Raw genomic sequence first — 22,831 nt, 5'->3', positions numbered from 1 at the left:
TTTTACAACACCTGTGGCACTGTTTCATTTCACTTATAGTGTGTTAACTTGTGAAATTTACATTAAAGCTGTAGTAACTGAAGGGCATGGGGGATGTATTTTTAAGGGGGTTTCTTCTGTTTCTGCAATGTTGGCTTCTATTTCTGGACTTGGATATTTGTTTTATATTTATTCATTAGACTATACATATATATTTTTATGTACTTTTTGAATATTCACAGTAAGCATAAAATGTTATTATAAAGAGCTTTAAATCTGCAATTGATTTATGTAGCAAACTTCTTAAGAAAATGGATTAATTGTTGAAAGGAAGCCTAAGGATTTTAGTGACTATTTCATCTTCCTTTCCATGTTGAGTTTTATGTCTGGAATTGAAAAGATAGAAATGTATAAGCCTTTCGTTTCATCCTTCCATTGGTTTTTCCATGAAGGCTGTCATAAATAACAAAATGAAGTGGTTTTGGTTTTGCTTTTGTTTTTTGCATCTGTGGCTGGTAAAGGTAGAGAGTGAGAGATAGGAGTACAGGAAGGAGAGGACATTTAAAAGTAAAAAATGAAAAACCTAGACTTTAGAATGATTATGTTGCTGTGATGAGGCTAGTAATATGTTTCTCTTTGTAAACCACAATTTAAATATAGATGTATAGCATAAAGTCTTTACTTCAAATCATACATACAAAATAGATTATTGCAACTTAGAAATTGTGCATCTTTTGTCTTCGCTGTAGTTATTAAAATATCGACTACGCATTCTCCTATCAGCTCTTGTCCTATGACTTGTCAGAGAAAGACTGTTTAAAGCCTCTATCACTGTAAATAAGAGTGTGTAATTCTATTAGTATTGAACTTGCATTTTTATTTATGTGCTACTTAATTTAAAAGGTAAATGGGACATCATATTGAGTTTTGAATGATGCAAATTAAGTTGATCATGTTATTACATCTGTCTTTTTCTTCAGAACTGTTTCTGTCATTTAAATTTTTTTTTTACTTTTTTTTCCAAGAGCACAAATCCACTTTTATTTATTTACTTTTCATTAATTTAAATGCTTGAGGGGTACAGCATCACACAGATTCTGTGTCCAGTGGCCTTAGCAGGAAGATTGCTTCAGAATTTGGCGTGAACCATGCCACTATTTCCCTGGGACCGAGTTACCTTTCCCTAGATTACTCTGATTTTGTTTGGTTTGCCACCAGGAGTCACTTTGTTGTTCTTTGTTTTGTATATATAAGCACATCTTATGCCCGAATAGAATTCTGTTTCATTTTGGGCATAAGCACCTTCTATTTTAAAAAGAGCTGTGTGCTGTCTTTGGTTCTGGAGACCCCACTTATACTCAGCAAAAATGGCCTTGGACCACAGCCTTCCAGACATACTTCCTTTTAGTATTCCTGTTCCCAGCAGGCCTCCACAGGCTCCAAGTTGGCAGAAAGAGAAAGGCCATTTAAAATTTTAAAAACAGGTACAACATAATTCATTGTCTCCAAAATTGAGGCATGTATTATTATAGCTGTGTTTAGCTAAAATAACAGTTTTTGAACTTGTGATTATGGAAAACTTTAAAAATGATAATGTATTGACAGAGCATCAGTAGAAACTCAGAAAAAAGAACATAAACTTGTATTAAAATAGATTACAAAAAGTTATTTCACATACACAAAGTAATGGCTGGAAGAAATTAAGTTTTGATTTATGCCTTTATTATATAATAAAAAGTTAAAATATATGTTGAAATTATTAGGCAAAAATCACAGCACAAATCAGCTATGATTCAATAACGTAAAACACAATAGTTGTATGTTTATGCATCACTTGAGCATCAATGCATTCAAGCATATGTGGTATACTGTGGACATCCTGGCTTTCTGAGGTGTGGCATGCTATTATGAGTAGCTTATCTCATGGTAATTTTAACTGTATCAAATATACTCAGTATTTTTGTGTATTAAAAATTTTAGAACAAAAATATTGTTAGAGGATTTTTCTTTCTTCTCTCTTCATTCCTCCTATCCCCACCCCTTTATCCCCAGACTGTCTATAAACATTTCATGTAGGGTTAGTGCTTTTTAGAATAGTTTGGGAAAAGCTGACCTAAGGCGGTAAATTGTTATAACTACCTTTTTAAATCACAACAGATTTCGTTATTCAGTAACTGAAGGAATGTGGCCTCCTTCCATGATAGCCTTTTGGTGGTCATTTTTTGTTTTGTTTTGGTTTGGTTTTTTGATAACACTGAAGTAAGTTTCTGAATGTATATAAACACATTATTACTTAGCTTGATTTAACATTCTTCGTAGATAATCTGTTTTCTGGGATTTTCTTCAAAGCTTAAAAAATATCAAGTGTCTTTGTTATATTTGTCACAAAGAGCCTGTACCAAACTCCTAATCAAATGAAAGCAGCCTTGAATGTTTCATAAGACTAAAGCTAATGTCTTTATCTCTCTAGCTTTCGAACCTCTGATTTGGAGTTCAGTGGAAATTTAACCTTTTTGGACCTCTTCCCTTGGTGACTCACAGTCTCTGGAATCATAAGGTCTGCATTACTTTACAGCTCAATTTAATTCATGAGAACTATAGGAGCCAAAAGGGAGCTAATCAGAATCACTAAAATATTGAAACAGATCAATTGTGACTTTTAGATTTGTATGGAATATGTGGAATTTCTCTCCCTGGTTTGGTTAATGAGTGCTTTTGAATGGGGACATATGTTGAGGGTCTCATATTTATGATTTATGATTTCTAAATAGTGCATATCCCAAAGGACAGATTACTCCAATTGGAACTAGGCACTTTGCTTTTATAAACTTGATGAGTTACCATGGAATATCAGTCTTAGTTGAGCCCTCTATGCACTAGATCACTGATGAAGTTGGAGTTGTTATTTTGTGTTTGCAAAACACTATCTGGATTGTATTTATTTATGTGGTGGACAAAGAGGTTAGAAGTTATAGATACTCAAAAGTGAAAATTCATTCAGTAGACTTTCTCTTATATTCTAATAATGAAATTAAGCTAGTACTTAGTTTGTCCTATAACTCTAACCCTTCATTTGTGTCAAATAGCAGTAGAAGTTATTCTTTTTAAATGTTGCTGTGGTGTTGATTTCATTATCCAAAAATCTACTGTTAGAGGAGTGAAAATAATTCTGTGTTTTAATCTTGCCCATGATTTATATCTCTATCAGCTAGCTCTGAAGTGTTTTGGGTTTTGTTTTGTTTTGTTTGTATTTTATTAACACAGTTAAACATGATGCCTTGATTTATAATTCCTGTTAATTTGCATTTATTCTTCTTATGTTCCTACTCATAAAAATAAATTCTGTAGTCCTTTTGAGTATGCTTTGAACACTTATCTACATGTAACATTGCATATTTAACCCTGGAAGGACTATTGTAGTATTTTTATCTGAAGGTAAAAATAATGAGTAAATAAAAACAGAACGTTAGATCTGTTTTTCAAATTTATATATTGTTTCAGTGTGTAGCCTATCTAAACAAGCGGTAAACTTGCTCATCAAAGACTAAATAGGTCCATTGGTCCTTTTATATGAGGGGGTGCTGTTAGTGCTGTGGTTTACCAAAGACTAAGCCAATGGTGTTTCTCCTTATTTTACTATTAGTACTAGTAGAGAAAAATACTCATCCTCGATTTATTGTGATGATAATGACAGGTAATGATTTACTACAAGAGTCTGTCAGATTCTAAGCAGGCTAAATAATTTTTCTTTATAGTGTGTTAACAAAGTTTTTAGTACGCTGAGTGACATAGTGCCTTGTCACCACAAATGCTCTTTGATTACATGAAAAGTGTTACAAAAAGACATTTTCTGCAGCAAGGGCCATTTCCAGCATAATGAAATATGGAATATTTTCAAATGAACTCCAAAGTGATATGTATTGAGGTCTTGCTCTTGGTCTAATCTGCCTCAGTCCTGAGAAGCCTAGCTCTAAGATAAACAAAGGGCATCTTCCACTGGGAGTGCAATGTTGGAACTGCTCACTGCCTTAAGTAACCATATGCATAGCCTCTTTCCTGATAGTTGGCTCCTGTCTCCCTTTGTAATCCTTTCCTTCTTCCATGCCTGCTGCTTAAGTTGCAGACTATTCCAGCCTCACTTCTCTTGGACACTTCTATCTGTTGCAGGCATAGGCCTGTCTCATCCCAGACTCACCTCTTCTACAAGATCCTCCCTGTACATATCTTCTTTGTGTTTGCTGGATCATCTTATTTGGTTATCTTTGGCGATGGAGGTGGTAGTGCTTATTACTGAGAGTTTTCTATGTACCAACTATAGTGTCAGCAGTATGCTTTATCTGATTTAATTCTAACAACCACCTCATGAGTTAGATGCTATTAATATTTCTGTTTTACAAATGAAGAATGGAAAACCAAGGTTTAGGGAGTTTAAGTAACTGACATCTCATTTTTATCTATGGACTGTGGCACATGCTGTCAGAGTCGGTCTTTGACATAGCACCTAGGAAAGAAGCTGAATCAGATTAAACATACTACCCAAACATTAGGTCAATTGAAAATGGCTAGGGAAAAGGGAAGATTCATCATAAAAACTAATTGAGTAAAACTAGGGAGGCCCAATAAGTTCAAATATTTGAATTCAAGGTAGAAAGAAGAAGAAAACCCTCTAGCAAAAGTCGGCCTTAATGGCCCATAGCCTTAGATCTGGCATCATTTAGAACCACATGGCTGGGCATGTGGCTCACGCCTGTAATCCCAATACTTTGGGAGGCTGAGGCGGACAGATCACTTGAGGTCAGGAGTTTGAGACCAGCCTGACCAACATGGTGAAACCCTGTTTCTACTGGGAAAAAAAAAAAAAAAAAAGCAGCAGCATCACAGCCTCAGGGAAAGTACCTACCAGCTTCCAACAGTCTTCGTTCCTTTGAATCCTTTGCCATCTGGTTATATTCCCTCTTCCCATTCTTGTTATCTGCCCATCTTTGACACCTCTTTTCCTCTCTCCTGTTACTTGGCATCGCCTTGGGCAACTTCGGTTCAGTTGATATTCATGTTGATGAACCATTTACTAGTCAAACCCAGTCTGTGTGTGAGACCTTCTACTTTATTAACCCATGTGACCACAAATGACCAGAGCTTGGACCTGATTATCCCGTGGGCCAGCTCCTTCTCTAAAGCCATGAGCTCAGAATTCTTCTCCCACCACAGCCTCCTAGTTTTCTACTCCCTTATTCCTACTGTGCTTTCTGTTTTTTGAGTCTCCACTGCGTTCATCCCTTTTCTTCTGGTCCACTGTGTCCCAGGTTGTATTACGCAAATATTAACACTTCGTAAGTAAAGGGTTAATAGTTAAGTTGGGGGAATGTACTGGGTATTATATCCTTCTTCTGGGAATAGCTCTGAGGAGTCTTAAAGTAAAGAAACATGCTTAGCTTTATTTAATTAAACCTCTTTTTTTTCAAACTTATTTATAAACAGCTTCCATGTAACAGCTTTTGACTTCCTTTGTAGCAAGTATTCCATGGAGCACACTTTGCAGAGCACAGTTGTAATGGGGAAGGAAGGGAAGGAGGAAGAAATAAAGGGCGAGAGGAGAGAGGGAAGGAGGGAGAGAGGGAATAACAAATCTTACTGATAGGCCTTGCTAAGAGTTCATGTTATTCAATCTTAACTAGGCCTTTGTTTCCTGTTGCCATCTTTTATATATTTCCTTATTACTCTAGGATTCCAAACCTTTTCATTGTTTTGTAACATTTACTGACATTCCACTATCAGTCTGCTCCTACTTAATACCTCTTGGAGAGATTTGAGGACATCTAAAAGGTAAATTCTTTAAGTTTCTTTATTTTAAGGTTTTCAACATACCTCATGCTTCTCTTTCTTGTTATCTCAAAGGAAAAGCTCGTCTTATTCCATTCCTCAAGGGCAGCATGTCCAAAACAATTATACTTTAGGATACATATGTCACTGTTTCTTTTCTGGCCTTGTCCCTCTTTCCCTGCTGCCTGGTTAGTGCTTCCTTGACTTTTAGTGTTCAGCATGACTATCACTTCTGCAATTGACTTTATTTATTTATTTATTTATTTTTGAGATGTTCTCTTGGTCTGTTGTGCAGGTTGGAGTACAGTGGCATGATCTTGGCTCACTGCAACCTCCGCCTCCTGGGTTCAAGCGATTCTCCTGCCTCAGCCTCCTGAGTAGCTGGGATTATAGGCACGCACCACCTTGCCGGGCTAATTTTTATATTTTTAGTAGAGATGGGGTTTCACCATGTTGGCCAGGCTGGTCTCAAATCCCTGACCTCAGGTGATCCGCCCACGTTGGGCCTCCCAAAGTGCTGGGATTACAGGCATGAGCTATCGTGCCTGACCTAGACTTTCTTTTTTTAGAGCAGTTTTAGATTCATAGCAAAATACACTGATTTCTCATATATCCCCCACTCCCAGGCATGCACACCCTCCCCCATTATCAACATCCCCCACCGGAGTGGTTCATTTGCTACAATTGATGAACCTACCTTGACACATCATTACCACTCAAAGTTCTGTAATTGATGTTTTACAGTCATCTTCTATAAGCTTCCTTGTATGAGGCTGTGATTTGTTCTTTGTTATGTTCCTAGCACTTAACATAGTGAGAACTTTCAATACCACTTAATGCAGGTTATATGCAAATCTTTTTTCTTTTGCTCTTTCTCTCTGCCATCTTCTAATTGACTATTGGATTTATTCACCTGGATATGCCACAAGTACCTAAAACTATCCTTGTCACCACTCTTCCACATTCTGTCAGTGAATGATTCCACCATTTATCTATTCATTCACTCAAGCCAGAACTTGTTAATCATCTTAGCTGCCCTATTCTGCCTCAGCCACCTTTTTCTGCTCATCTACCATTTCCTCATCTTACAGTATGATGTCATAATTTTACTTCCTAAATACTTCTTGAGTTTCGGCTCTATTTCTGTTACACTTGTCTCCTCCATACCATCGTCATGACTCAGCTAGTATATTGTAACAATCACCTAGCCGACCCCTGTGTGCAGTTGATCCCTTCAAATCCATCCTTCATGCTGCTTACACACAGTGAACTATCTGAAGCATAGATCTTAAAACCTTCCATGGCATTTCATCTCTTTTCAACTCTATTGGTGATATTTATGGCATTCCATGACCTTGCCTCTGCCCACCTCTCTGGCATCATTTCATGCCACTTTTCCTGCTTGAAACCTGATGGTCTAATGACTCTAAATTACTTGTGGTTCTCTGTCATGGTGTTTGCCTGCTTCTTAATCCAGCCTTCAAGACTCAGCTCAGTTTTTATCTCCTCTGAGTATCCTTTTTTGTCCTCTCAGCCGCTACTAAAAACTCCTCTGTGTGCTCACAGTAGTACCTGTGCACAACTCCATGTGCTTGTTACATTAGGCATCATATAGCCACGAAATGTCTGAATATTCATGAGGCCCAATTTTTCCAGGGCATCTTACTATTTTCTAGCCCATGGCTAATGCACAGTTAATGTTTCTTGAACTGAGTTCAGGATATTCAGGGAGAGTAGTCCAGCACACAAAAATGTGGGCCTTGAACCACAATCACTTACCGAGAGATTTAGGAATTATTTTGTGTAAGGTGATAGTTGACCATTTGCGACTGGTGATTGGTAGAGAGAAAAGGTAAGGCCAGTATGCATAACCTTTACTATAGTCTTTTTTGTTTCTTTTTTTTCCAGAGACAGGGCTTTGCTCTGTCCTCCAGGCTGGAGTGCAGTGCCATAATCATGGCTCATCGCAACCTCAAATTCCTAGGCTTAAGCAAGATCCTCCTACCTCAGCTTCCAGGGTAGCTGGGACTATAGGTCTATACCACCACACCTACCTAAGTAAAATTTTTTTTGGCCGGGCATGGTGGCTCTCATGCCTGTAATCCCAGCACTTCGGGAGGCTGAGGCAAGCAGATCACGAGGTCAAGAGATCGAGACCATCCTGACGAACATGGTGAAACCCTGTCTCTACTAAAAATAAAAAATTAGCTGGGCGTGGTGGCGCGTAAGTTGCAGCTTCTCTGGAGGCTGAGGCAGGAGAATCACTTGAACCCGGGAGGCAGAGGTTGCAGTGAGCCGAGATCGCGCCATTGCACTCCAGTCTGGCGACAGAGTGAGACTCCGTCTCAAAAAAAAAAAAAATTTTTTTTTTGTAGAGACCGAGTCTCACTATGTTGCCCAAGCTGGTCTTAAACTCTTGCCCTTAAGCAATCCTCCCGCTTTGGCCTCCCAGAGTGCTGAGATTACAGGCATGAACCACTGTGCCCAGGCTTTATAGTTGTTGTGTAGCATTTTTACCCTAAAAAGTAGTAAGTTTCTAGAGGACAGACACCTTGTATTGTTTGTCTTGGTGTTTATTTTTCACAGTGCTCAATCTAATGTCCTGGACAAAGTGGGTGTTCAATATGTGTTTGGACTAAGTAGCAATATGTGACTAGAATTCAGTAAAAGGGAGAGGCTGTTCTATTTCTTGTATTTCTGAGCTCCGTAAGTTCACGCTTCAGGGGCCCATTTACCTCTTTAATTCCCTGCATGCAAAAGGAGGATGAATGCCTTAGATGATAGATTGAACCTGACCTCTTAATGTTTTATGTGATATAGCTATGTGCCACATCAGTCCTCATATGCCTTCATTTTTATATGGGCTATAAAACCAAAATTACTTCAAGAGGAATATTTGACCATTTTCATCCTTCTTTTAAAATGAATTGGAGTTACCAAAAGTAGCCTGATGCAGTTGAATAAAATTAAGTGTATTTTAAAATCTCTAAACAAAAAGCTACAGATTTAATCATCTGTAGTTGTATCTACATATGTCTGAAAACCCCTGAATCTTCTTTCGGTTGCCCTGGTGACTGTTTCATTGGAGTAGCGTATCAAGAAAGACTACATCTGTGGAGTCCAAACACTAGCTACTATCCACATAGGCTATTTAAATAAAAATTAATTACAATGAAAGAAAATTTAAAATTCAGTTCTTCAGTCACAGTAGCCACATTTCAAATGCCACATGTGGCTGCCGGCTGCCATCCTGGACAGCACAGATATAGAACATTTTCATCACTGCAGAAAGTTAGACTGAATAGAAATGTACTAGGTCATCCCTAAGGATCCTTCTGCATCTGATATCCTTCTACTGGGAAACCTGCTCACAGGGACTTCTGAGATTTCTCAACATTGTTTGACTGCATTTTGAATTTTTTTAGATTGGATATTACTTCAAATAATTGAGTTGTTGAGTAGAACTTGTCCATTTTTAATAAAGATCTTTTCATTGTAATAGCATTTGTTTTAACTACAAATGTATTTGCATTTTTATTCTTTCTCCAAAGAGTGCGCTTCCAGAGAGTGTCCTCAAGCCTTTTAGGAAAATTAGTTTTGTTTCATCCTTAATAAGAGTGAAGTTCAGACTATAATATTATTATTTCATACTGGATAATTTAATTAAATTAAGAATTAAGCACTATAATATGTATGTATGCACGTTACTTGATTTGCATGGCACATTTTATAATAGCGCTGTGAGTGTGCTAAGCTGTCATTGAACTACCATAAAAATTACTTAAGTCTGGGTGTGGTGGTTCGTGCTTGTAATTCTAGCACTTTGGGAGGCTGAGGTGGGATGATTGCTTGAGCCCAGGAGTTCAAGACCAGCCCGGGCAAGATGGTGAGACCCCATCGCTACAAAAATTTTTTTAAAAATTAGCTGGGTGTGGTAGCATGCATCTGTAGTCCCAGCTACTTGGGAGGCCGAGGCAGGAGGATCCCTTGAGCCCAAGAGTTCGAGGTGGCAGTGAGCTATGATCACACCAGTGCACTCCAGCCTGGGTGACAAAGTGAGACCCCCATCTCTTAAAAATATATATTACTGAGAAATAAGTATTTTTCAGGGTACTTCTTAGAGTTGAAAAAACCTGCTAATTATTTAAAAGTATAAACTATAATAAAAGATTGAAGTTATTGCTCACCTGTATTTCTTGGACAAATTACATCCATTTTACTTCTAGGGCTAGAAAACTTATATCACCATTAGCTGTTTCTCTGAAATTTTGTCATGTTGAGTTTGATTGCCTGTCTATAAAGATGGATAATAATGTGACTATGTGGTATTGAAAGTATCCATTGGCTTGGACATAATAGCAATGTGGTTTGGTGGTGTTTACAAAAGTGATTGATGGATATGGCCATGTAGTCGTACAGTAATAGAAGTGAGAAATAGGAAAGACATGTCAGAGCGTCTTGTGCCAGTGTGGGTTTATTTCCTAAGGAATAATCATTTACCATAATAGTACTGAGAAGTAAATTCTTTGGCGGCATAGGATAATAAGGATGTATTATTATGTTTTGTCTTTTCTAAAGTAAGAATTCTGCTGTTTATTATTAGCATGAAAATCGATATGATTGTGCAATAAATACTGTTTAAAGAAGAACTTCCTTCATGTTTTATAAACCTACACAATTCTATTCTTCATGTTTAATGAAGTTTGTGTAGGAAAATAGTGTGACTGTTTTTGATTAGAGGCATATTTTGTTTCAAGAATTGGATGAAGATCTTCTTCCTAAACTGATTGTGTTCCCAGACTAGTTGTTAATTATTTGGAATTAGGAGTCATGATGGGGAAATTTCCACCACATCCAGAAAGTCTGTGAATTTTAAACCTCTGATGGCTTGTTTTCTGAAGTGAAAAACTAATGCAGATTTCTGTCACTAGAAACACAGCAGTGCTTAGGAGAGATTGGAAGTAGGGTTGTGGTGAGAATTGGCAGGAGGACTCTTTCTCCCTTCATTCCTCCTCCTTCGTCCTGCACTAGCTGATAAGAGCTGGGCCATAGGAGTGGAGACTAAAAATGAAAGGAGGTTTCATTGCTTAGCACTTCTTTTCCTCTTTTCCCCCTTCTGCTGGCAATCCTTGATGGGGAGGAAACAAAGTGTCTGTATAGCAGCCCGATTATTTCATATTAAGCAACTGTCAAATTAATATAAGGACAACTGCAGGTTATTTCCAGTGTGAATTACAGAGTACTTTAAAAACTCGTTATATTTCATTTATCTATCGTTAGGGCAAATCATTTCAAATGCTTATAATGAGCTGTGATTTTTATCAGTATTTCCCAGATTTGAGTCATAAACACTTTGAAAATTCATAGGGAGACTCTTAATAGCTGTTTAAAGAGGAAAACCAAATCAAACCAAAAGAAAGTAGAGGGGCAAGGTGATCCTCAGCACAGCCATTTGTATGTGTCACCACAGCTGACCCCTGGACTCAGCCTTTCACACCACCTTGCCCTCTGCTACCACACTGATTTTGTACCTCTCCATGCACAGTCTTATTTAGGTCCATGAACTAAATAAGTTAGCTGCTAATTGGTGAAATATGCCTTCTTAAATATGACCATGTTAGCCTGGCTATTTCCTGAAAACCAGTTGGAGTTTATTAAAAATAGAGACCATTTTTATTGAAGCCATAATTGTCATGGGCGATACACATGAGAGATCACCCTGTGGCTGGCCTGTCAGACTTTCATGAGCCTTCAGAAATTAAGGGGAATGAGTGAGTTTGTTTTCTTGTAAGCTGTCACATTCTTCTCTTCAAAGTGTCAGCCTGAGTTGTGCACAGATAAATGTTAGAAACTTTCACCTTCTCCAGTTGATTTTTTTACCCTTACATAATTTAGTAGTATGATTGTTTTTCCTCTAACATTTAATGTTTTTGTACTTTTAATTTTTGAAATGTGAGCTTGTGCTTTAGAGTTGGGAAAACTTAGAGGTAGTTCCAGTATAGAAAGCTTAGCCTATAGACAGTTTAATCAACTTACACAAAACTATAATATTTTTGCTAAGTAATAGAGATTCTGAAAGGCAATGGAGAGGAGGAGGATGAGCTTTGTAAAATCAGCTAATCCAGATAGAAAGTGTCAGTTAATTTAACATATTTTTATTGACAGTTTTACATATGAACACCACTGTTGTAGGAATGGTGAATCAATCATAAATCTTGTCTTAAAGGAGCTTCTAGTAAGGGCTAGAAGGCACGTTCATAAATAACAACAGAAAGCAGAAAGTCTTAAGTGTCTTGTGAAAAAAAGTTCAAATAAATTACAAGAGGGAGAATTACTTTTTAGCTGGAGAGTAAATTTGGATAGACTTGAAGCAAACTATTGTTTGAGCAAGATCAAAAGGTTGGATAAGTTTTGGAGTTAAGAAGGAAAGATATTCCAGGATCGTATCTGTAGCAGCACAAACAGATGCTATAGAAAAATGAATTTCTGAGTTTCTAGTATGTAGGCTGCACAGAAGGTAGAGTTTGTGAGTGTGTGTATGTTATATATATGTGCTGAATGAGACTAGATAAGAATCTAGGGTAAGGGAGCTTGACTGTTAGTTCAAGGGATTTGTTCTGTATTGAAAAGGCAGCAGAAAGCCATTGAAAGCTTTGAAGTGGAGCAGAAGCACATCATAGTCTACTTGGGCAGAAACTGAAGGTGGGCTATCAGCAGGGCAGCAGTTAGATTATTGTAGTAATCTTGATGAGACTGGATGAGGGCTGAGGGTAGTTTAGTAGTGATTAAGATGAGGTAATAAATATGTGAGATCCTGCTGGATCAATCAATATAGGACTTGGCAGTTAATTGATATGGGGGTGATCAAAGAAGAAGGAGGCTCCAGAAAGTTTGTGAATTACTGGCCCATTAGACATTAATACTTTTTATATGGAGCTTTAGAATTCATAAAACCCTATTATATCTGAAAGCTTTCGTAACTCTGTAAGTTAAAGTTATAGTAGAATTATCCTTACTATGGATGAGGAAATAAAGAATTTAGGGATTTTTCTGTGGTTAATATGAGAGTAAATGCCGATCTAGGCCTATAACTAGTCTTCCAGTTTCTTGGCCAGTATTTCTTTTATATCCTTCCTTGTGAACCTGGGAAGAAAAACTCTGGCATCTAGTCCCAATGTCTTTTTGTTTTTTTTTTTTGTTTTTTTTGAGACAGAGTCTTGCTCTGTCACCCAGGCCGGAGGTGCAGTGGCATGATCTCAGCTCACTGCAACCTCCACCTCCCGAACTCAAGCGATTCTCATGCCTTAGCCACCCAAATAGCTGGGACTACAGGTGTGGGCCACAATGCTCAGCTAATTTTTGTATTTTTAGTAGAGATGGCCAGGCTGGTCTTGAACTCTTGACCTCAAGTGATCCACCTGCTTTGGCCTCCCAAAATACTGGGGTTATAGGTGTGAGCCACTGCCCCCAACCACCACTGGGTTTTTGAATGTGGACAAATTGCTTATTTCTTGGAGCTTTAGTCTCTCTAGATGCCCTTATCCTTTCTATCTTGCAAGGATACTTTGAAGATAAAATGCAATGTTTTTGGTTTTATCAACTCTTTATTCAGCAAATAATGAGCACTAAATACTATGCTTAGTACTGGGGGGCCACAAGATGTTTAAATTTGTGTGTTTCACAGATCAGAGGACAGGAAATGCAGATAAATAATTGTAATAACCGCAGTAAGTGTTCTAATACAAGTATGTACATTTGGCTCTAGAGTCATAGAGTAAGGGGCAGTCAGGCAATCAGCGAAGGCTTCCCAGGGAGATGGGAACTGAGTCCTGAAGCATAATTCGTGGTTTAATGGTAGTAAAATGTTAAACAAGGCAGAGGGTAAAATAATGCATCATCATCATCATAATACTAGCTGTTATTTGTTGAAAAGCTTATAATTCTGACCACATCTCTGCAAGATATTTTCATTTTATAAGTAAGAAAATAGGTTCAAAAGGTTGTGATTTGATCATAGTATTTAATGAAGTCAGTATGGTACATTAGGGAGGTGCAAATGGTTAAGTATCACTGGACAGTAGCAAACAAGCAACAGAAAGGATAAAGATAAAACTGAAAAAGGGGCTCAAGTATGCTATATTCTAGATATTAAAAAATAAAAATAATAAAACTAGTGGTTTCATGACAGACAGGGGAGACTATTTTAACATATATGAGACAAAGGATTAATACCTAGTAAAATATGCCTAATTAAACATTGGTTACTATGTGGACCAAGATGTTTTCACTGATCAGTTCTCCGAAACATTTAAGGAAGATATAATACTAAGTTCACAGAAACTCAAATAAGAGAGGAGGAGGGAGCACTTTCCAACTCATTTATAAAGCCATATATATATACCTCTCATACTAGTATGTGACAAAGATTTTATAAAATATTAGCAAATGAAATCTAGAAATATGTAAAAAGGATAATACATGATTACTAAGCAGAGTTCATCTCAGAAATGCAGGATTGGATTTATATTTTAAAAGCTGTATGATTATTGTGATAAATGCAGAATAAGCACCTGACAAAATTTAGTAACCATTCAGAGTGAAAAACTGTTAGCAGGCCGGGAGTGATGGCTCATGCCTGTAATCCTAACACTCTGGGAGGCCAAGGCGGGTGGATCACCTGAGGTTAGGAGTTCAAGGCCAGCCTGGCCAACATAGTAGAACTCCATCTCTACTAAAATTACAAAAATTAGCTGGGCATGGTAGCATGCACCTGTAGTCTCAGCTACTCGGGAGGCTGAGGCAGGAGAATTGCTTGAATCCAGGAAGCAGAGGTTGCAGTGAGCCAAGATCGCACCACTGCACTCCAGCCTAGGTGACAAAGCAAGACTGTCTCCAGAAAAAAAAAACAAAAACAAAACAACAACAACAAAACTATTAACAACTATGTCCTCAATCTGATAAAGCGTATCTGTGAAAAACCTACTACTAAAATCATGCTTCATGGTGAAATATGAAATACTCTTCCCAAAGATTGGGGGAAAAGCAAGAACAGCCATGCTCTTCATTCTTATTAACATTGTACTAGAAATCCTAGCCAATGCAGTAAGGCAAGAAAAAGAAATAAAATGTTTGAAAATCAGAAAGGAAGAAGTAAAACTGTTTCTATTTGTAGTTGACAGTGTTTGTTTATGCAGAAAAACCCAAGAAACCTAAAAAATAACTATTAGAACTAATTTATTTAGCAAGACATAAGGTCAGTATACAAAAATCATTATATTTTTATATACTTACCATAAATGAAATTTTAAAAATTTCATTAAAAATAGTGTTAAAAAACCATAAAATACTTAGAAATAAATTTAACAAAAAATGTGTAAGACCAGTATCTTGAAGACTGTAAAACATTGCTGGGAGAAATTGAAGAAAACCTGAATAAAAGAATATCTACCATGCTCATGGACCGGATGACTCAGTGTGGTTAAGATATCAGTTCTCAGCCGGGCGCGGTGGCTCACACTTGTAATCGAGCACTTTGGGAGGCTGAGGTGGGTGGATCACTTGAGGACAGGAGTTCAAGACCAGCCTGGCTAACATGGTGAAACCCCATCTCTACTAAAAGTACAAAAAAATTAGCCAGGTGTGGTGGTGGGTGCCTATAATCCCAGCTAGTCAGGAGGCTGAGGCAGGAGAATTGCTCGAACCCAGGAGGCGGAGGTTGCAGCGAGCCGAGATCATGCCGTTGCAATCCAGCCTGGGCAACAAGAGTGAAACTCCATCTCAAAAAAATAAAAAGATATCAGTTCTCCCTATATGCAGTTCCAATCATAATACCAAGCAGGCATTTTGTAGAAAATGCAAAGCTGATTACTAAAATTTATATGGAAACACAAAGGACCCTTATTTACAAAGAAATTGTAAATAAGAAGGGCAGAGTTTGCAGACTTACGTGAATTGCTTTGGATACTTACAATAAGACTACAGTAAACAAGACAGTATGTGTGGTGAGTTGAATAATGTCCCCCCAAATTAATGTTCACCTGGACTCTCAGGATGTGGCTTTATCTGGAAATACAGTCTTTGCAGATGTAACTAGTTAAGATGAGGCCACACTGGATTATGGTGTATCCTAAATCAATGACTGGTGTCCTTATGAGAGAAGGAAAGGACACAGAGACAAAGACACTGAGGGAAAACGCTTATATGATGATGGAGTTAGAGATTGGACTGATGTATCTGCATGCCAAGGAACCCCAAGGATTGCTAGAAGCCACCAGAAGCTAGGAAGAGGCCAGGAAGAGCCTTAGAGCCTTCATAGGGAGCGTGATACTACCAACAACTGGTTCCAGATTTCTAGACTCCAGAACTGTGAGATAATACATTTTTGTTGTTTTAAGCCGCCTGGTTTGTGGTTCTTTGTCACAGCAGCTCAAGGAAATGAATACAATATGATACTGACATAACAATCAAATTGATCAGTGGAACCAAGTGGTAAACCCAGAAACAGACCCATGTTTATACAGTCATTTGGTTTTCAACAAAAGTGCCAAAGCAATACAACAAGGGAAAAGAAGTGTCTTTTCAACAAATGGTGTTGGCGAAACTGGATTTCCATGTGGGCTTAAAAAAAAAAATTGCCCCTTCCCACATACTATACATAGAAAATAATTCTAAATTCTAACTGAAAAAGCAAAAACTATAAAGCTTCTAGAGGAAAACATCTTTGTAGCTTAGGAGTCGACAAAGATTTCCTAGGACCTACAGCTTTTATAGCTAATGGGAAACCTTAGCTATAAAAGAAAAAAACTTATAAATACTTGTGACGAAAACACATTAGGAAAATAGGCAAGCTAAAGACAGGGATGCCAGGCGCATTGGCTCATGCCTGTTATCCCAGCACTTTGGGAGGCCAAGGCAGAGGGATCGCTGGAGTACAGGAGTTCAAGGCCAGCCTGGGCAACATAGGGAGACCTTGTCTCTACAAAAAAAAAAAAAAAAAAAAAAATTAATTAGCTGGGCATGGTGGCACATGCCTGTGGTCCCAGCTCCTTGGGAGGCTGAGGTGGAAGGATCACTTGGAGGCCAGGTGTGGTGGCTCACACCTGTAATCTCAGCAGCTTGGGAGGCTGAGGTAGATGCATTGCTTGAGCCCAGGAGTTCAATACCAGTCTGGACAACATGGCAATGGTCTCTATTAAAAATCCAAAAATTAGGCCAGGCATGGTGGCTCACACCTGTAATCCCAGCACTCTGGGAGGCCAAGGCGGGTGGATCACGAGGTCAGGAGATCAAGACCATCCTGGCTAACACTGTGAAACCCCGTCTTTACTAAAAATACAAAAAAAACATTAGCTGGGCGTGGTGGCGGGTGCCTGTAGTCACAGCTACTCGGGAGCCTGAGGCAGGAGAATGGCGTGAACCTGGGAGGCGGAGCTTGCAGTGAGCCAAGATCGCGCCACTGCACCCCATCCTGGGCGACACAGGGAGACTCCATCTCAAAAAAAAAGGAAAAAAAAAAAGTCAAAAATTAGCCAGGCATGTTGGCACACACCTATAGTCCCAGCTACTTGGGAGGCTGAGGGTGACAGGATTGATGCCTGGGAGGTCAAGACTGCAGTGAGATGTGATTGCATCATGACACTCCAGCTTTGGCGACACAGTGAGACCCTGTCTCACATAAATAAATAGAAATAAATAAATTTTAAAAGACGGAGAAATATTTGCAAAATGTTTATCTGACAAGGGACATGTATCCAGAATATATAAAGAACTACAATTGAAAAATAAAAAGACAGCCAACCTCACTAGAAAATGAGCAAGAGTTTGAAAGGATTTCACAAAGGAAGGTATACAAATTGCCAATAAGCACATTAAAAAATGCTTGATATTATTTGTCACTGGAGAAATGCCAGTTATAACTAGAAAAGATATTAGCCTGCAGGCACTAGAAAGACTAAAAGATCAAATGTAGGTAGCGATATGGAGCAGTTGCAACTCTCATACTTTGTTGTTGGGAGTTTAAAATGTACTACAATGTTGGAAAAAGGTCTGGCTGTTTTTTAGAAAACTGAACATATACTTACCCTATTACCCATTAATTTCATTTCTTTCTATACCTACCTATGAGATATGAAAATATATGCACACAAAAAGATTTGTAGAAGAATGTTTATAGCAGTTTTACTTATAATAGCCAAAACCTGGGGACAGCCCAGGTATCTATCAACAAGAGAATGAATAAACAAATTGTGGGTGTATTCATACAATAAAATAATTTTTGTATTTTTAGTAGAGATGGGGTTTCATCATCTTGCCCAGGCTGGTCTTGAACTCCTGACCTCAAGTGATCCACTTGGCTTGGCCTCCTAAAGTGCTGGGATCACAGGGGTGAGCCACCATGCCTGGCGTGAACTCTAGTTGCTGATATGCAAACTGAAGTGATGGGGTGGAATGCTTGCAACTTACCTCAAAACGCATTAAAAAATGCATTGATATGTGGTCAGAAGAATGGACTGATGACAACATGACAAAAGCAAATATAAAATGTTAATCATAGAAACCAAATAGTATTTGGGTATTCAGTGTATAGTTATTTTAACTTCACCATATTTTTGAAATTTTTAAAAACGTTGGGAAAAATGGTTCTCAAAGGGGAATGATTACAAAAATTATTGTACTTCTCTACTTTGGAATACTGTGTAGCATTTGTCATTGTATAATACGGAAAGACTTTTTAGGCTTTCTCTTAAGGCAAAAACAAGTTGTAGAAAAATATAATATTTTAAAAATTAAGGTAACACAAAACTGTGTGTTTATATGCACACACACCTAAGTTCTCAGAAGAAGTTTGGGGAGGAAATACGCATCTGTTTATATCTGAGAAGAGGATATCTTGGCAGTGGGCTTGTGGGTAATATTTCTTTTCTTTTTGTTTATATTAATTTTCTTCAGTGAAAATACATGACATTTTAAAAAACATTTTGCCTTTAGTGATGTAAAAAATGCCTTTTTGTCATATTTGGTGAGAAAAAATACTAAATTGAGCAACATAATTTCCACTGATAAATGCACCTATGTAAAAGGAAAAAGAAACTTAGGTATAAATATTGGTTATGTTACTATTAGGAACATAGTTGATCCACCCACCTCAGCCTCCCAAAGTGCTGGGATTGCAGGTGTGAGCCACCACGCCCGGCCAGGAAATTTTTTTTTAAAGAAGCATTTCAGACATACACAAAAATAAAATGGGGTAATGAACCTCCCTGTTTCCATCACTCATCTTCAGTATTACAGGCTCATGCCTGTCATCCCAGCACTTTGGGAGGCTGAGGTAGGTGGATCACCTGAGGTTAGGAGTTTGAGACCAGCCTGGCCAACATGGCGCAACCCCATCTCTAAAAATACAAAAATTACCTAGGTGTGGTGATGCGTGCCTGTAGTCTCAGCTACTCAGGAGGCTGAGGCAGGAGAATCGCTTGAATCTGGGAGGTGGAGGTTGCAGTGACCTGAGATCATGCCACTGCACTCCAGCCTGGGTGACAGAGTGAGATCTATCTCAAAAAAAAAAAAAAAAAAAAAAAAAAAAATATATATATATATATATATATATATATATATATATATATATATATGGACCATAGGATTATGAGGATATATCCTCTTTGCTATTTAGCTTTTGGAGTGGTGTACTTCTTATTGAAAAATTGTCTAAAATTTCACATCCTAGACGTTTCATATAGATTTCATTTTTTTTTTATTAAAGAGGATTGTTAGTAACTTTTCACAATTTTTTTAGGATCTAACTAGGTTTAGACCAATAGAGAAAACGGAGCAGCTTGTGCTATTTCTTATATTCATTAATTTGTGATTTTTTTTTATTTTTTATTTATTTATTTATTTATTTATTTTTGAGACAAAGTCTCACTCTGTCGCCCAGGCGGAAGTGCAGTGGCACGATCTCGGCTCACTGCAACCTCTGCCTCCCAGGTTCAGGCGATTCTCCTGCTTCAGCCTCCCGAGTAACTGGGACCACAGGCATGTGCCACCATGCCTGGCTAATTTTTTGTATTTTTAGTAAAGATAGGGTTTCACTATGTTAGACAGGATGGTCTTGATCTGCTGACCTGGTGATTTGCCTGCCTTGGCCTCCCAAAGTGCTGGGATTACAGGCATGAGCCACCACGCCCGGCCTGATTACTTTTTTAAAGCTGTTTGCCCTAAACTGTTTGAAAAAGATCTATGGAAATATTTTCTTTTATTGAAATAACACTGGTCTTCTCATTTTGCGAGCTACAGATTTCACTTATTAATTCAAAGTTCAGTAGTCAATATTTAATACTTTCCATATGTCAGGTATGGTACTTAGTCATGTATAAATATGTCTTTCATAAATATTAGAGCACATTTAACAGATGTATGTAGTTAATCAGATATTCAAAGAAAGAAGAAATAAGTAAATATCTCTTTTCTGTTTGGATGTTTGTAGATATTTAAATATTTATAACGTTTTGATGTTTGGCAGATTTAGTTCCTTTATTTTAGTAGCTTGTTTCTATTTGTGGAGAGAAGAAAAAAAAATAGCCTGTCCACAGTCACTATGATGTGGTTGCAGTTATTACTGCCCTCCTAGGTTAGGGCTGATGTATTGGGGGTCACAGGGAGAGGATAGGGCTTTGTGCCATGAGATTCATGAGGTCAGTGACCACGTCTGTTAACTGTTTACTCTTCTGTCATCTTCTGGCACAATTCCTGAGACATAATAGTTCCTCAGGTATTTGTTTATCAGCCAATCGAATGAATGAACATATCTATAATCTAAGGAAAGGAGATAGGCAAAATAGCAGTATAATTTTGAAATTTATTGTATCAATTTTGACTGAAATATATGTATAATATATATTACATATATATACAGCCAATTTGTGGGACTAGAATAAAAAGTTGCTACACACACACGCGCACACGCACAGATCAAAACACTTGCTGTATGTAATTATCTATGCAGACTATCCAGTAGAGGGCAGGGTTTTACTTGTGGGAGAATTTAATACAACTTTCTTTTTTTACCATCATGTAAATGCTTACCTCCCTTATAATCATCATTATCATCATAATAAGTAATGTATGTTTATTTTTCTTTAATTGTTATAGAAGATTTGACCAATGGCTCTTGCTTTTCTTGAAGTTAAGAAATGATGTACATCTTAAATAACTTTTCCCTACTTGCATCCCAGTTTGCATTGTACAGGTTATAAGGTCATGGTGATATTTTAGATTATGCATTCCATCTCAAACAGTAGTTGAGTCGCTTATGTTCTTAAATGACATTTTTAGGTTCCCTTTTTGTGTTTCCAAAGCAGCATTAGACATAGGTCTGGAGTGTTGACAGTTGTGAAGAAGTACAGTGCAATAATGCTTCATCAGATAAATAAGCAATATTGTAAAGCTTGTCAGCAGAGCACTGCAGCAGCCACTCATGTCAGTTTTAAAAGACAAAGATGGATACCCAAAGGAGACGTGTCAGCTTGTTAAGACACTTAAGGTTTCATGTCTTTAGGTTTAACATGGTTGAATAGGCACTTCTGTCTGTCCTTCCCACTAATTACAGTGAAAAACAGGGGACCTTGTATGTAAAACAAACATAAGACTCTGAAAGGTAGAAGACCACTGACCAGCAGGGACTATGGGACCCTAGGAGAGTACATGGCACCAAAGTGGTATCAGTAAAGACCTAGTGGGGAGCTGGAACTCTCACCCCAACCCAGCACTATCGAGGTACCTCTCTCACTTTCCACTTTGGGTACTAAAGGCTGACTGGGGAACATGAATTTTTACCCTCAATTGCTGGTAATGAAGTAGCTATCCCATTCCCCTGCTGGCACAGTATCACAGAAGGCCTGCTCTGGCTGAAGATTTAAATAAGATCTAAAGATTTATAATACCCCAAATATCCAAATTTCAACAAAATGTCCCTCATGACCAGAAAAGAATCAGGAAAATCTCAACTGAAATGAAAAATGAACATCAATAGACACCAGGAGAATACAGATGTGAATTGTCTGACAATTATTTTAAAGTAGCCATCACAAGAAGGCTGAGCAATTATAAACATACTTGAAACAAATGAAAAAAACAGAAAGTCCCAGCAAAGAAAAAGAAACTATCCAGAGAAACCAAATGGAAATTTTAGAACTGAAAAATATAATAACTGAATTTTTAAAATGGAATAGACAGGTTTAATGGAGAATGGGGATGATAGAGGAAAGAATCAGTGAACTTGGAAGAAATTAAGAGAAATTACTCAGTCTGAACAGCAGTGAGAAAATAGATGAAAAAACAAAACCCAGAGTTTAGATATAACATTTGTGTCTTTGTGTGGTCAGAAAGGGAGGGGAAAGAGGGTGGGACTGAAAAAATATTCAAAGAAATAATGGCTGAGAACTTCCAAAATTTGACAAAAGTCATAAATCTACAGATTCAAGAAGCTGACCAAAACTTAAGTAGGATAAACCCAAAGAAATTCATACCAAGACATACTATAATTACATTTCTTAAAACCAAAGGCAAAGAAAAAATCTTGAAAGCAGCAAGAGAGAAATGACACAATGCCTATACAGAAAAACAGTTTGAATGACAACGGATCTCTCAGCAGCAAACATGGAGACCAGAAAGAAGTGACACAAAATTTTGAGGACTAAGGAAAGAATTGTCAACCCAGAATTCCATATCCAATTAAGATATTCTTCAGAAAGGAAGAGGAAACCACAGTGTTCTCAGGTGAAGGAAAACAGAACTTGACATCAGTGGACCTAACATAAAGTAATGTCTAAAGAAATTTCCTGAAACAGAAAAGAAATTATAAAAAAAAGGAATCATGGAACATCAGGAAAGAAGAAAGAACAACAAAGAGTAAAAATATAGTAAATATAATAGACTTTTTAAAAACTTTTTTGAGTGTTGTAAATTATGTTTGACTTTTTTCACTGTTTTCAAATATTGTAAAATAGTATAGTTATCAATGTATGTAGAGGAAATA

At 37.6% G+C, this 22,831-nt stretch overlaps 3 pseudogenes across 3 annotated transcripts in view; 2 read left to right on the top strand and 1 right to left on the bottom strand.

Moving 5' to 3' along the window:
• Window positions 1–22,831, top strand: part of PARGP1-AGAP4 (PARGP1-AGAP4 readthrough) — a 146,781-nt pseudogene that overhangs the window by 30,478 nt on the left and 93,472 nt on the right. The window lies entirely within an intron of this gene.
• PARGP1 (PARG pseudogene 1) overlaps window positions 1–22,831 on the top strand; it is a 117,594-nt pseudogene that overhangs the window by 30,532 nt on the left and 64,231 nt on the right. The window contains exon 5 of the transcript NR_029388.2: window positions 2,450–2,536. The product of NR_029388.2 is annotated as a PARG pseudogene 1 (transcript). The remainder of the gene's footprint in view (window positions 1–2,449; window positions 2,537–22,831) is intronic.
• On the bottom strand, window positions 984–1,438 carry RPL35AP23 (ribosomal protein L35a pseudogene 23; annotated as a pseudogene).

This window comes from Homo sapiens, chromosome 10 (genome assembly GCF_000001405.40).
Source record: "Homo sapiens chromosome 10, GRCh38.p14 Primary Assembly".
NCBI lineage: Eukaryota > Metazoa > Chordata > Mammalia > Primates > Hominidae > Homo > Homo sapiens.
The sequence above is the reverse complement of the archived record's forward strand: the minus strand, read 5'-3'. Positions and strand labels throughout refer to the sequence as shown.